General features: G+C 36.8%; 1 protein-coding gene across 14 annotated transcripts in view; it reads right to left on the minus strand.

The window, feature by feature from the left end:
* The window catches only part of DOCK4 (dedicator of cytokinesis 4), a 480,290-nt gene that overhangs the window by 95,723 nt on the left and 368,394 nt on the right, over window positions 1–16,173 (minus strand). For all 14 annotated transcript variants that reach the window (XM_047421081.1, NM_014705.4, XM_006716189.3 and 11 more), the window contains exons 26-27: window positions 12,756–12,854; window positions 530–624 (exon numbers count right to left, since the gene is read on the minus strand). In XM_047421081.1, coding sequence (XP_047277037.1) covers window positions 530–624; window positions 12,756–12,854 — 194 coding nt within the window. The remainder of the gene's footprint in view (window positions 1–529; window positions 625–12,755; window positions 12,855–16,173) is intronic.

Below are 16,173 nucleotides of genomic sequence, written 5' to 3' on the forward strand. Positions count from 1 at the left end.
ATTTTGTTGAGAAGAATTAAGAAAGATCAGAAATGATTCAAATTTCTAGTAACAGAGAATTGGTTAAATAAACTATGGTATGGTCATTCAATGCAATATTATTCAGCTGTAAAGGAAAATACACAGAAGAATGAAAGGCTTTCTATCTATTAATTTGGAAAGATTGCCAGGATTTCTTAAGAGCATTATACAGAACAGTGTGTATATTACATTACCTGCTGGTCTCTGTATAAAGGAACACTAGGAGGACATGTAAGAAACAAATACAAGTGGTTATACAGCCTAGGGGAAGAGGGTCAATGGGAACAGAACTTCTCAATGCATATGCTATTATGTTGTTCGATTTCTGAATGATGTTAATATATACAAAGGAAATAGTAATTCTAAACAAGTGGTAACATTTTTTTAAAGGCTTAATTCAGAGGCAAAAAAAAAACTGCAAACTTGAGATCAAATGAAAAAGATAATTTTGTACTCCCTTCTTCCTCTATACATTGAGCTGCAATTATCATCAACTTAAATGTCTTACTTGTTAGCAACCAAGCGCATAACAGTCCAGTCCTTTGGAAACATCTCCGGGCGTATCAATATTCGGAACACAGTAAATATCTGCAGCAGGAAATCCTTGGATAAGGAGAAAATAGATCATTTTATTGGTTTATTGTAACTGTCAACATACATACGCACATACACAGGCAGTACTGTTGTACTGTTACCATTTCCAAAGCAATTATAGAGAAGGGAGCCATAGTTTAACAGTTTGCCCAAGGGAAGGAGTCATGACCCTTCCCATTCTCAGGACTCAAACCCACCCAAATGTTTTCTTTTCTTTCTTGGGCACAGTGAAAATGAGTTTTTATTTCTCTCCACAGGTTCTAACAATTTAGGGTTTTGAAAATAAAGTGGAAAACTTGTAACAGAAGATTAACAGGGAAATACATTCCCTTTCTTCTATTATAGCATCTTAAACATCAGAACTTTTCAATGCAGGAGAACAATGAACAGTCCTGGCTCAGCTCTGCTTTCCTTTAAGAGGGTGTCAAATTTTAGAAAGTTATGCTCATCAAAAAGCATCTCATACAAAAACCTATTTTTCTTACAGGGCATTCTTGAGATGCAGTATTAATGGAATGTATGCAGGTTTATAGAATTTGAGTGAATTTTCCAGAGTGTGCTGTGCACAATACATTCAAATGAGGATATGTGCTAAGTCCAGCCCAGTGAGGAGTGCTTAGTAGTTATGAGATTATCAATATATTCCTCACAAAGATGCCATGCGAGATGGTAGTAGTATTTACTGAGATGTTATCTTTAAATCGATCACCTGAAAACACTCTTGACAAGAAGCTATCATCAGACATGGAAATATTACTTTTTTTTTTTTTTTTTTTTTTAGACGGAGTCTTGCTCTGTCGCCAGGCTAGAGTGCAGTGGCGTGATCTCGGCTCACTGCAACCTCCACCTCCCGGGTTCAAGCCATTCTCCTGCCTCAGCCTCCCGAGTAGCTGAGACCACAGGCGCCTGCCACCACGTCCAGCTAATTTTTTGTATTTTTAGTAGAGACGGGGTTTCACCATGTTGACCAGGCTGGTCTTGAACTCCTGACCTCAGGTGATCCGCCCACCTCGGCCTCCCAAAGTGCTGGGATTCCAGGCATGAGCCACCAGGCCTGGCCGGTATATTGCTTCCTTCAACATTACAAGAGATAGGGTCAAATGCGCTATAGCATACAATACTTAAAGTGGAATCAAGGAGATAATGTACCACACACAATGAATGAAATGAGCTTTCCCTACTCAAAAAGGGATTAGCTCAATCTAGCTTTGATTTAGATTTATTAACTAGAAAACTTAAAGAGTTTTTGGTAACCTAAGTGATTCTAGGAAAATATATTTCTCTAACAATCTGATTGAAGATAACGATATGGTGTTGCTTCAAAAATAAAAAGCAACCCCAAACACAAGAGTTTTATTTATCAAATACAATGACACATTACGTTAAACATGTAAGCTGCTTGAATGTAAGATTATGGTTGTCACTCATGTGCACAGAAGACAGAAAAAATCTAAAAACTAAAAACCATGTGGTAGCTTTATTTTCTTTTTATATACGCTAACAACTTCAATCAAGTCCATAAATATTTTGACAAGAACTTATTTTAGCTTCTTTGGCATCAACACACATATGTTGATATGTAGTATGCGCCATGTGGAAACATGCCCACTAGGTCATCCATCTTTAAATGGCTAGACAGATCCGGTCCATGTCTCCAGAATCACTGGAAGCAGAGTTTGCCAAATGTATTTCACTGTAGGTCACATAATTTTGGGAAACACTTCACATTCTAGCTCTCTTGGGAGAGTAGGTCATTAGCTTACTAAAACTGTGAGAAGCCCTTTCTAATGCATTTCTGAAACTTATTTTAATGGTTTCTCAGTTGATTCTTTTGAGTTACTCAGACATATATATGTATATATATTATATATAATCCCTGCAAAAATGGCTTGTGCATTTATCTTTGAAAGAGTTATACCCCACTTCAGTTTCCTATCTTGGTGCATTTGCTTAGATAGATGTGAAAGTCATGAGAGTGGGGATTCTTTGGCTTTATGGTCTACAATTAGTTAGGAACAGTACAAATAAATTCTAACATGCTGAAGTTTTATCTTCTCGCCTCAAAAGTTGTAAGAGAACTGGAAACTGGAGGCAGCACTCTTAGTGGTAGTGGTGGTGTGTATGTATGTGTGTATGTGGTGTGTGGGGTGGGGGACTGTGCTGTCAGTTGAAAGGAGGAAAAATACTGGCTGAAAAGATTGGCTATAGGAGGCAAAACATCTATCTTACCAGCTAGCAACTTGAGTTTTCTTTTGTAGTGCTGGGGACAAAGGAAACAGTATTGCAGGTGAAGGAGTTGGGGATAGATGACCTGTTTCTGTGCTATCTCATTTTCCTAGTCACATTTATCTCCCACTATAAAAGGCTGTGGCAGCATGTGACATTGCCAATGCCTGTGAACTGACATAAATCTTTATTTCCCCCAAGAAAACTTTTCAGTGTCTCAAGTAGTTTTCTACAGTATCCATTCAAGCTTCATTGACATTTATAAAACCAAACATATTCAACAGTAGAAACCTTATAAGAAAAATAAAAGAGCACAATAATGAGGATCAGAAAACCTAGATTTTAAATCCTGGCTATGCAATTAACTAGCCCAATGACCTTGGCAATTTGTTTAACCTCTCTGGGAGTGAGTTCCCATACTTGTAAAATGTGGGGGCTTTGAGGTCTCTTGTAGTTAGAGGAGATTAAAAAAAATCAGTATGATCATTTAGTTATTCAAAAGGCATCTCCACATTTTTCTTACTTCTAAAATGTAGGCAAATGTTTCATCATATCATGTTGTCATAACACAAATACCTTCCATTTTAGTATTTACATGTAATTTAGTTTAGCAAGTCTTTGTCTACTGCCATGCAACAGGGTTTATTCCAAACTCAGTTCCAATACTCGAAAGCAATATGACCTCAATGCTAGATTCTTTAACATTTCCCTCCCTCCCACCCAAAATACAGTGGTATTTCCTTGACTGTCCTCTCCGAGTACTTTTCAACTCTGGTCATTTCACTAAATATGTGTTTTTGCATAGATAGATGTGGTTATTTTGCACATACAACTAAGTAACAGATTCTTTTTATAATTTGAAAAAGAACATTGCCATGCCTATAATATTCCTGCTTGGACAGCACAAAGAAATAAGTGCTTCATATGCTACCATTTAAAACCTGGCAGAATGGGAGCAGTTTCTTTTTCTGTTTTACATCATACAGCACAACATGGTCACTTAAGCAGGTTAAATTATTTAACATGGTTAAACTGTATTATTGGTATTCTTCAAATCAGGGTTCAAGATAAAAAAGAAACAGGGAGGTGTTATTTTATAGAAGTATTTTTTCTGCAGAGGTTCAAGTAAGAGAGAGGTTCAAGTAAGAAAGGTCTTGTGAAAGTCTTCCAAAACAATAAAAAGTCCCATAATTAAATATAAAACAAAGTAGGAACAGTTGTTATGATTTTAGAAATGATCACTAACATGTACTGATTTATAAATATCGGGTGCTTTACTATGTGCCAGGCACTGTGTTAGATGCTGGGGATACCTGGTAAGAGACATTCTTTTATTTATTCATGCAGCAGGTGTTTATGGAGTGTCTGGAACATGCCACACAATAGTAAGTAGGTTAAATGTGCTCTTTGCTTTCGTGGAGTTCACAGTTTAGTGGGAGAGATAAATGTTAATCTAAAAACCACACAGATACATGTATGCTTTGAAAATGTGAATAAGTCTGAAGGTCAGGTATTCCACACAGAGGGAACAACACCTGTAGGCCTCAGAAGCAAGAGAGAGCACAGGGTTGCCTGGACTGCAAGGAGCAGTGGCAAGACATAGGGCTGAAAGATAAATAGGGATAAATAAAAGATAGACATATTTCATAACTTTTTCCATAGTAAGGAGTCTGGACATTTATCCTGCAGGCATTGTGGAGACACTGAGGGGTATTATGCAGATGTTTGAGAGGATCGAATTTGTGTTTTAGATTTTTTAACTGTACCATATAAAAATTGTTTTGTGCTTACATATGATACTATGATATTAAGAAAGACACAAGACAGGATAGGCTTAAAAAATGTGGTACATTTACACCATGGAATACTATGCAGCCACAAAAAAAGAACAAAATCATGTCCTTTGCTGCAGCACAGATGCAGCTAGAGGCCATTATCCTAAGTGAATTAACATGGAAACAGAAAACCAAATACTGCGTTCTCACTTATAAGTGAGAGCTAATCATTGGATACACACTGACATAAAAATGGGAACAGACATGGGGGATTACAAAAGAAGGGAGGGAGGGAGAAAGAAAAGGGCTGAAAAACTACCTATTGGGTACTACATTCACTATTTGGGTGATGGACTCAACTGGGGCCCAAACCTCAGCATCACGCAATATATTCATTAACAAACCTGCACATGTACCACCTGAATCTAAAAATTTTTTAAAATCTATATTTTTTTAAAAAAGAGAAAGGCAAAAGACAAAAATTAGGCTTGTGAAACAGAATTGGCAAGACACAGAGAAATGAATCCTGAGTTCATGAAACATGAGTTAAGACATCCATAAAACAAAGCATCATGAGGCTGCTACACAGACTAGGGCATTTTCTTCTTACTTCAAGAACAATGAATAGGACAGACCCTCAGACTATACTCAAATGTCATTAAAAAAATTTGCCATAAATTTCAAACGTATAATACCCTTGATGTGAGGTTTGAATTCAATTAAAGGGTGTTAATAATCATTATCACATTGAAACTTATATTCTTAAAATGGAATCTTTAAGTATCTTACGCAAAATAACTCCCAAATGATCGTCCATCTTTTAGAGCTATATAACCATTTTTCTGTAATCAATATATTCAAATAAAGATAAGTCAAAATAATTATATTGAAAATCTTTTGAAACAGGCAGGAATATTAAGAGCATGCATTCTTTCAACAAAGATTTAATGTTCCAGGTTCTGTGCTTAGGACACCAAGACATGGTCTCGACTCTCAATGGCCCATAGTCATCAAAAACACAAGGAAATGGCAAATAATGAGAGTGCATTATTGCACGCTATCAGAGAGGGAGGACTGTATCCTGGGAAGGCTTCATCGAGAAGCTGATACCTGAGTGGGTTTGTAGGGTGAGCTGAATCAGAGAAGGGATTAACAGGGGTACACATTAGGTAATGGAAGTGAGGTGGTGGTAGAATAGGCATTACAGATAGAAAAAAAATGATTCAGAGGAATTAAAAATTATATATTTGGTTTTTAAGGAATATAACAGTAGTTTGAAGTGGCTGGAGTGACTGAAAGGTGTTTAGAAGGGGGTGGAGGATAATGTGGTTGGAAGGTAAATTGAGGATAGAAACAACATGATAAGGAGATTGGACTTCGTCCTGCAAGGAATGGGAAGTACTCAGAGTTTTAAAGCTGGATTGGGGCTTGATCAGATATAATTTTTGAAAGCTAGTGGGACAGTATATAGGAGACAATGCAGTTATAATCGTGCTGTACTTAACTTCCAGCTCATGTATAATCTTGTGCTTATAGCAAGATCCCCACAGTTCTATGAAAAGTTATAATCAACAAAGCACAGGAGTCTCACTGCTGTATATATATGAAATGCCAAGGATATGGACAAAACTGTAGCCTCCAGTATGAGGTGGGTGTATAATAAAACATTACTGACAACAGAAGGAGGAAAAAAATCTTGATCACTACCTAGTGTTTACTTTTGTTCATTTTAAAATAATATTATGTTCTAGAGAAGGAAAAAAACAATACAGAGTACCAGCCCTCAGGTCTTTGCTCCCACATACTTGTGTTCTGATACTGTGACTCATGCCTCTCACACACAAGTAAGAACCTAAGGACACAGGGGAAGAAGTGGCACACTGCTCAGGAAGCCAGAAGCTACTTCAGCAGTAACCCTGGAGGCATCCAGGCTCTTCAGGCATGAATGGAGTTGAAAGACCTTTAGTCTTAGTAGATACTTGAGAGCCACATACTTTTAAAATTCATTTTGATTTATAGAACCACTGGGAAATGCTAAGACAAACTTTACCTTTCTTTGAACTGTTAAAAAGAAAGGAAAAAGCAACATTAGGAATAAAAAACAACATGAATATTCATTTGAAAATCTCAATATATAATTGATCAAGTATCAATTAAAATGTAAAATGTGTACATCCTATGACCCAACAATTACACGTCTAGGAATTTATTCTACAGCAATATGGGTACAAGTCCACAGAAAGAGGTGTATCAAGATGTTTACTGCAAGACCCATTCTAATGGCAAAAATCAGAAATGATTAAATTATGTAGCATCCATATAATGAGATTCAGAAGAATAAGGTAGTGGGCTATATAATATCTATGAGATATTATCATGTAAAAAAGTATACATCAATATAAATAATTATATTAACACTAAAAATGTGTGTGTGTGTGTGTATATATATATATATATATGTATATATATAGTATACAAAATCATCTACAAGGTTACACCTTTAGATGTTAACAGCAGCTACCTCTGGGGATTAGGATACGTTGGGGGTTAGGAGGAGAGTAAATACACTTTATCACTTTTTAAAACAGTAGGGTTATGTGGAATTTTTGGTGTCTAATTTCAATATCACTTATAATTTCCCATTAAATATCACCCTATTAATTGTACTTTACCTATTTACTTTCTAACCTAAATGTACATACAAAACCCCAAGTAACTCTCCTTCTATTAATCTGGCCTTTCTCAGATATCTCCATTCTATGACTAGAACTGCTTTATTAACTTCAGAGAGCTGACAATTACAATTTTATATAATTTGATAGGAAAGATTTTGGTTTAAGAAAGTTTATTAAAGTTTAGGGAAAAGCTGAGTTTAGCTGCCTGAGCAATGAGCTCAGGATGTTAATAGAATTCCTAGTTCTCCCAATTACTTGAGAACAATAATAGCATCAGTCAATCTCATGGCGGGGGAGGCAGGGAGAGGATGAAATGTGGGTTAAGCACCACAACTGGCTCATGGCTGTGGGATGGGGTTGAGGAGGTGTTCCGTAACTGTTAGCCAATATCACTGCAGTTTATACATATTATATTTATTTACAAGAATGATTTAGATGACCTTAACAACAGGCTTTTATTAGTCTTGATATCTCTAATGTCTAAGCAAGATGCTCAATAAATGTTTGTTGAGTCAACAATTGATATCTGTAAGAAAATAATGGGGGCCTACTTCATGGGATCCTTTTAAGGATTAAAATTAGTTAATATTAAGCAACTGCTTAGAACAGTGCCTGATACATACTAAATTGCATATAAAATGCTTGCTGTTTAGAGGTCTTCACTTCCTTTACTACGATATCAAAACCCAAAATTACTCTAAAAGTTTTTGCCCTTATAATCCACTTGGCAGCAAAACCTGACCAGAATGATTTATAGTCTTTATTTATCCCATATGGAGTGAATATTTTGTATCACTCTAGATTTTATTGGAGGTGCTATATATGTACATTATCATTATGAAATCATAAAAATTCTGATTTCTGAAGTAAAATTGGTACTAAGGACTTTGTATAAGGGTCTAGGGACAAGTGTTATTATCTTTGAAAATATTACAATATAGGTTCAGGAACATAACTAGAAATATTTGGTTTTAAACAAAATTGAGCACAGGAAACATTTATTAATATCTTTTATAAGGTGATATATGAACTTTTAAAATGCAGATTAAAACAAGATGACTAGGGAGGCTGAGGTGGACGGATCACAAGGTCAGGAGATCGAGACCATCCTGGCCAACATGGTGAAACCTCATCTCTACTAAAATACAAAAAATCCGCCGGGCGTGGTGGCGCGTGCCTGTAGTCCCAGCTACTCAAGAAGCTGAGGAAGAGGAATTGCGTCAACCTGGGTGACGGAGGTTGCAGTGAGTCAAGATTGAGCCACTGCACTCCAGCCTGGGCGACAGAGCGAGACTCATTCTCAAAACAAAACAAAACAAAACAAAAAAAACAAGATGACTAATTAGCCTTTACTAAATTAAATAAATGTCCTCTAGCCTGCATTCACTCCAGTTATTTCTCTTTCATTCTTAGACTGGGAAAGTGTAAGAATCTTAGTCCCAGTCAAGGATAATTCTGTCCCTTCCTGCTGCCTTCTCAGAGACCTCACCCTGGAAGTTAGTACCTCTTTCTTAGATTTCCAGCTTCTCCCTCTCCACCAGCTGTAATCATGAATATATTTAAACATGCTTAAGTCTCCTCCATCATAAGTATTCATCAAAACAAAGTCTACACATCCAAACTTATCCCTCTTCTTCTTGAAACACTGCATACAATCCACTGTATATTTTCCTTTTTTTTTTTCTATTCTTCAATCCATGACAAGTTGGCTTTCACCCTCATCAGTGAAATTGCCCATCAGGTTCACCAACAATATTTAGGGAACCTTTCATGATGGTACTCGACCTCCTTGCAGTAGCAGGCACTGTTTATCACGCCTCCCTCCTTAGGCTTAGGATTCTATGTAGGTCCTTTGACCTTCATACTCTACACTCTCCTTGGATGTTCACATTTACTCCCATGATGTCAGTTATTATTCACTGGCTGACAGTTTCCAGATCTACATCCCATAACCCATCTCTCTCTCTCCTGAACTTCAGGCACAATTTACTAAACATCTCCATCTGAATGTCCCTCAGGTGACCAAACTCAGGCTGAAACCGAATTTACCTTTGCTCCCAAACCTGAATACCTAACTCCTCCTGGGATCCTCATGCAGTGAATGGCACCACACCAACACCCAGCCAATTGTCAAAAGGCCTAGGAGTCACTTACAACTCCTCCCACTCCTTCACCTTTTTAATATTATCAGTCATCAAGTCCTGCCAATTCAACTTCCTAAATGTCCCTAGACTCTATCTCCACAATCGCCTCTACTTCAAGCCACAGTCATTTCTAGCTTAGGTTACTACCTAAAATCTTTTACAGGGTTCTGCCTCTCATCTTGACTTCAGTGAATCCCCTTTCTTTCTTTTCTTTCCTTTTTCTTTTTTTTTTTTAGAGACAGGGTCTCCCTCTGTTGCCCAGGTTGGAGAGGAGTGGTGCAATCACAGCTCACTGCAGCCTCCACCTCCCTGGCTGAAGCGATACTCCCATCTGACCCTCTTGAGTAGCTGGGACTATAGATGTGTGCCACCATACCCAGCTAGTTTTTACAAACTTTTTATAGCGACAGGGTCTTGCCATATTGCCCAGGCTGGTCTCTAACTCCTGGGCTCAAGTGATCCTCCTGCCTTGGCCTCCCAAAGTGCTCCCAAATTACAGGCATGAGGTACCGTGTCTGGCCAAATGCATTTTCAATAGTGCAACCAGACAGGTCTTTCTTCCCTCAAATGAGATCTTATCTCTCCCTTCTTAAAACAATCACAAGCTTCAAAATGTCCTCAAAACAAAGTCTACACTCATTCATACAGCCTTAAACTCTATATTCTATCAAATGATCAACAACTATTTCTTGAATGCCTGCTATGTGCTAGGAATGGTCTGGAATCTAAGGATACAGCAGTGAGCCAGACAAAGCTTCAGATATCAAGGAGCTTATGGCCCAGTGGGATATATACATAAACTGGGAAATACACATAAACAAATAAACAAAAATATTCCAGATTCCAATAAGTATTATAAAGGTGGGGTAGAGAGTGTGCTGTGTCAGTCGGGGCATTCAGGTGATATTTTAATAGAGAGGTCTGAATGTTCCAGCCAAATATATATCTAGCACACTCCTACTAACCTCAGTTCTCAGCTGAGACCTCCCCTGGGAAGTTTTCCTGTTGCCTTGAGTCTGGGTTGGCAGCACCTCCCACACGCTCCATAGCATCGCGTGCTTACCCTGAACATTCACCACTCAGGGTGCTCATGCCCATTATTTGCCTGATTACTCCCCTACAGGAACAGGGTATCTTGTGCCTGGTTACATCCCTAGTGCGTGGTGCACAGTGCTTGCCATGCTTGAGTTGCTCAATATCCACTTCCTGAATGGCAGATGAAGTAATTAATATTATTAAATAATTCTCCTAGTCAGAAGGCCTTGCTATTTTTTTTTTCAGACGGAGTCTCACTCTGTTGCCCAGGCTGGAGTGCAGTGGTGTGATCTCAGCTCACTGCCACCTCTGCCTCCTGGGTTCAAGCGATTCTCCCACCTCAGCCTCCCAAATAGCTGGGACTACAGGCACGAGCCACCATGCCCAGCTAATTTTTGTATTTTTAGTAGAGATGGGATTTTGCTATGTTGGCCAAGCTGGCCTTGATCTCAGGTGATCCACCCACCTCGGCCTCCCAAAGTGCTGGGATTACAGGCCTGAGCCACGGCGCCCCGCCAGCCTCAGTAATTTTAAAGAGGGTAATATAATTGTCCTTGGAAGAGGTGTATTGGCTGACTGAAATGAGAAAAGTCCACATAAAACATTTTATTCATTATTTCCATTTGTTTTATTACTGCTAACATGAATACCAAAGCATAAAACTCAACACCTGGATAATTAGTCATGTCTTTCAGTTTATGCTTCTCTGCTATTTTTTAATTCCCAGGCTCCATAAAAATATGTACGCTTTTCCTATGGGAAATTTTCAAATATGAAGTCATAGACTTCTTAAGTAAAACCTAATGATTCTTTAACTGTGTTAAGAATACAGCTTCTAACGAAAGTTAATAAATGCACAGTTCTCTTCCTTTTGACATTATGGGTTTTTGTACTCAGAGTGGGTAAGTCCTAAGGCCTTTTATCCATTTTTAATTCTAAATTCAAGATTGAATGTAAGGCCAGGCATGGTGGCTCATGCCTGTAATCTGAGTACTTTAGGAGGCTGAGATGGGAGGATTTCTTTAGGCCAGGAGTTTGAGACCAGCCTGGGCAACATAGTGAGACCCTGCCTCTACAAAAAAATTTTAAAAATTAGCTAAGTGTGGTAGCATGTGCCTGTAGTCACAGCTACTTGGGAAGCAGAGGCAGGAGGATTGTCTGAGCCTAGGAGTTTCAGGATGCAGTGAGCCATGATTGTACTACTGCACTCCAGCCTGAGTAACAGTAAAACCCTGCCTCAAAAAAAAAAAGAAAAAAGATTCAATGTAAGAATGAAAAACATGATGCCATATGCCAAATGACTGACTGCTGAGGGATTAAATCTGCCAAAAATGATTCTTTGTTTTATATGACTCAGCTTTTCAAGTTCTCTAAGGTAACAACAGGAAGATTTTTCTGAGATCATACAATATTTTCCAGTTAAAGTCAAAGATAAGTGACCCCTATGTACTATCTATATTAAAAAATCAACAATTTCTTCCCCTAAGGCACTGGGAAGGCTTCCAATCAAGCAAATGTCATAGCAGAACTGTACTTTTGGTCCTATAATTCTCCACCACCCAGCTTAAAAGCAACAATTCTAATATGATGGTTTCCATATGAAATTTGTCCAGAAAACTGAAGAGATGGAAGAGAAATAAAAGTAAATAAGGAAGATGACAGATCATATCATTCCTCCAACTAAGAATAATCAAGCATTTAGTGAAACCATGAAGGATGCATTACAGTTCTGTGAATCTCAGCAAATACTGGATTTTTATAAACCTGGCATCCTTATTTCCTATTTAATGTCAGCTTGTCAGAGTAGCACAGCATATTGATTAGACTATAGCTGATAGAGAATATCAAATACAACTCTGTATCCCTAGTCAAAAAGTTGTAGCCAGAACTTCTCATTATGGTTTTAGTGAGATGAAATGAGTGAACATATTTACATATTCTCTTTTATCTTCTATTAAGGCAATGTTTCTAGGTTCACGTAGTTAATCTATTTGTTTTTATCTCTTCAGTTCTGTTATTCTGCTTCTAGTTTATTGAACTTTGATGACAGGTACTTCACATCCTATATCCTTCTCTGAAATGAGAGTTAATAGCTTTGCTTGAGTAATAGAAATCTTTAAAAGCCAATATAGATGAGCAGATCTGTGGATGAGGCTGAGAAAAACAGCTTAGAACTTAATGGAAACAGGTAAAGCAATTGTCTAGGATTTATCTCAACAGTGATGAATAAAAACAAGATAAACCCAAAAGATATGTTAAAGAAAACATTTTAAAATGTCACTTACCCTTAGTTCTTCCTTTGTATTAAAACTATCAAGAAGCTGTTGATAATGTCTATCTGTCATTTGTCGTAATAGGGACAGGAGACAAGCAACAAACTCCCCCTAAGTTAAAAAAAAAAAAAGCATACATTTTATTTTTAGTAAGGACGTAAAAGAACATCAGTAACTTACACTGAACTGTCCTCAAAGAGAATAGGTTAAAATGAAATCACGATGATCCAAACTTGCCCTGTGAAGTCTTCTTAATATAAATTATCCAAAATGTCACAGCCAAAACTCCCTATGATGATTACCATTTATTTACTTGGTATTCACAAATTTATAATTTTAGGGAGGATTTTTTTTTTTAACTTGAGTGGAAGCTTTTCACTTGGGAACTAACTTCACACATTTAAAGAAGGTAAGGCACCGAGGGTTTATGATCATTTACTGAGCATTTAACATGTCTGTAATAATTCTAACATTTAAGCTTCATATCAACACTATGAGGTAGGGGGTATAATACCTTTTTGAAGAAGGTAAAATGTAGTTTCTGATGTGCTAAATGACTTGCCCCAAGTCACTCAGCTAGAAAGTAGCAGAGCTGGCATTATCCCCAGTCTTTCTGCCTCCAAAGCCCTTCCTGTAGCTTCATGCTCCATTTTTGAATTCAAATGACCTCCTCCAACTCATCAGAGAGTTGATCTGCTGACTCACAGGGTATAATGAATGCCATATGTTGCATAATGTTCATTTCAATCTCCTTTTAAAAAATAGTTTTATTCAGATGTCTTGGAAGATTGAAAACAATTTTTTTAATTGGCCATTCTTTTTGTGCTTGGGCTCTATGTGATTTGTAACCATAAATTCTAATTCTTAAAAATTAACAATAAAAAAGTAAACATAGCATCTATGGATTTGAAGACCTACATAAAATTGCTATCACTTGCATTTTTGAATGAACTTCTAATTTAAAATGCTTGCATTTTCAATGCAACCTTTTGTGCTCAGCAAAGAATTTATCTACTTTTAAACAGAGTAATAACATTTAAAACAAAACAAATACAATAGGAGAGGCAATCACTGGTAACTAACTGTATATTTACAGAAGTGCAATTTAATTGGGAACTGGTTTCTTAGATTTTACATGGAAAGAGACTACAGACTTTATAAGTAGAGACTAAAAGCCCTGAGAAGGGAATTTTTCAACAGAAGCAGCTGGGTGAGGAAAATTCAATGTATCCTCGCCCACTGCCATGGGAGACCCAAGGATGCTATAATACTTAAAGACCATGTCAAGGCAACCAGGTACTCAGGCTAGATCTCTGTTTGCAGATAATCATTTGCAACACACAGGTATGACAAATAATTATCTATATACATTTTTTAGGGTAAATATTCAAGAAACTAACCAGTGTGGGCCAGAAGAAACATCCTTCAAGCTCAACATATACTTTGTTAATGAACATGGGAATCCTTGATATTTAACAAAAGAAATAAAAAGTTTAAAGGCAATATTATTAATATTTTTGTATATGTGTGTAAGGTAGTAACCCAACCCAACACTAGGAAAAGAATGATCTAGAAGGATTGAGAGAACAGTGCCTTGTGCTCACACAGGACTGGGAATAATAGAGCCTTTTTTTTTTTTTAATACCAGCCAGACTGGAAAAACCTCACAATTAATAAGGCATTAGTTAGAGTACCAAAAACAGTGTTTCCTTAGTACTGGAGAAAAACTACTCCTAGAGTAATGCTGTTCTGGTCCTACCTCACAAATTTCAAAAGCAAGACCTAAAATGATCAAATAGTTTCCAATAAATTTAACCTCACTCTATAGCAAAGCTCAGATATTTTTTAGAAATTAAAAAAATCCACCTGTCAACAATGTAAAATTCACAATAACTGGCATGCAATGAAAAATCACCAGGCAGGTCAAGAAGAAGGAAAAAATGACGCAAATGAGGAGAAAAAGTAATATATCAATAGAAACAGATCCAGAAATGACATAGATAATAGAATTACCACACAAGAACATTAACATAGTTATATTACTGTATTCTAATTTTTCAGGAAGCTAGAGGAAAGACTGAATATGTTAATTTAGAGACATGGAAGACATAAAAAGAGCCCAAATTAAACTTCTAGAGATGAAGGCTACAATTTGTGAGATGAATATTAATTGAATGGGTCGAGTGGCAGATTAGACACTGCAGAAGAAAAGATTATTGAACTTGAAAGGTAGGGCAGTAGAAATTCTCCAAAATAAAGCATAGACAGAAAAAACTGAAATAAAAAGAAAAACAGAAAAAAGCATCAGTGAACTGGAGGACAACTTCAAGTAGCAGAATATCTATGTAACTGAAAGTCTCAGAGAGAAGGAAGAGACAGAAAAAATAATTGAAGAAATGAGAAAAAAACTTTTTCAAACTCTTTGAAAATTATAAACCTGTATATCAAAAAATCTCCACAAACCCCAAGCACAAGAAACAAGAAGAAAATTACACCAAGGCACATCATAATCAAATTGCTTATAGCCAGTGGTAGAGAAAATCTTAAAACACTATTCAGAAAAAAAAGGGGCACATTACATAGAGAAGAACAAAGACAAAGATGAGAAAAGATTTCTCTTGGAAAGAACACAAGCTGAAAGACAACGGAGCAACAGCTTCAGAGAACTAAAAGGAAAAAAAACCCCAAAAACTATTAACCAAGAAAAATATCTTCCAAAATATAAAATATAAAAATATCTTCCAAAAGCAAAGACAAAATAAAGACTTTTCAAACCTCCCAAAGCTTATTCACCACCTCTATTCAACATTGTACTGAAGGTTTTAGTCAGTGCAATAAGGCAAGAAAAGGCAATCAGGAATACAGGTTTGAAAGGAATTTTTAAAAAGCTGTCTTTCTTCACAGAAAGCGTAGCTGTGTATATAGAAAAAGCTATGAAATTGATAAAGAGCTACTGGAACTAATTGAGTTTATTTACATTCCAAAATATAAGATCAATGTACAAAAATAAATTTTACTTCTACACACTAAAAATGAACAATCAGAAATTGAAATTTAAAATAATATCATTAAAATATGAAATAATTACTGATCTATTTGACAAAAGATGTATAAAATCTGCACACTGAAGGCTGCAAAACACTGAGGGGTGGAGTTAAATACTTAAAAAAAATGAAGATATTACATGTTCATGGATTGGGAAATGCAATATTGTTAAGATGTCAATTTTGGCTGGGCGTGGTGGCTCATGCCTATAATCCCAGTACTTTGGGAGGCTGAGGCGGGTGAGTCACCTGAGGTCAGGAGTTTGAGACCAACCTGGCCAACATGGTGAAACCTGAGCTCTACTAAAAATACAAAATTAGCCGGGTGTAGTGGCACAAGCCTGTAATCCCAGCTACTTGGGAGGCTGAGGCAGGAGAATTGCTTG

This window comes from Homo sapiens, chromosome 7 (genome assembly GCF_000001405.40).
Source record: "Homo sapiens chromosome 7, GRCh38.p14 Primary Assembly".
NCBI classification, from domain to species: Eukaryota; Metazoa; Chordata; class Mammalia; order Primates; family Hominidae; genus Homo; species Homo sapiens.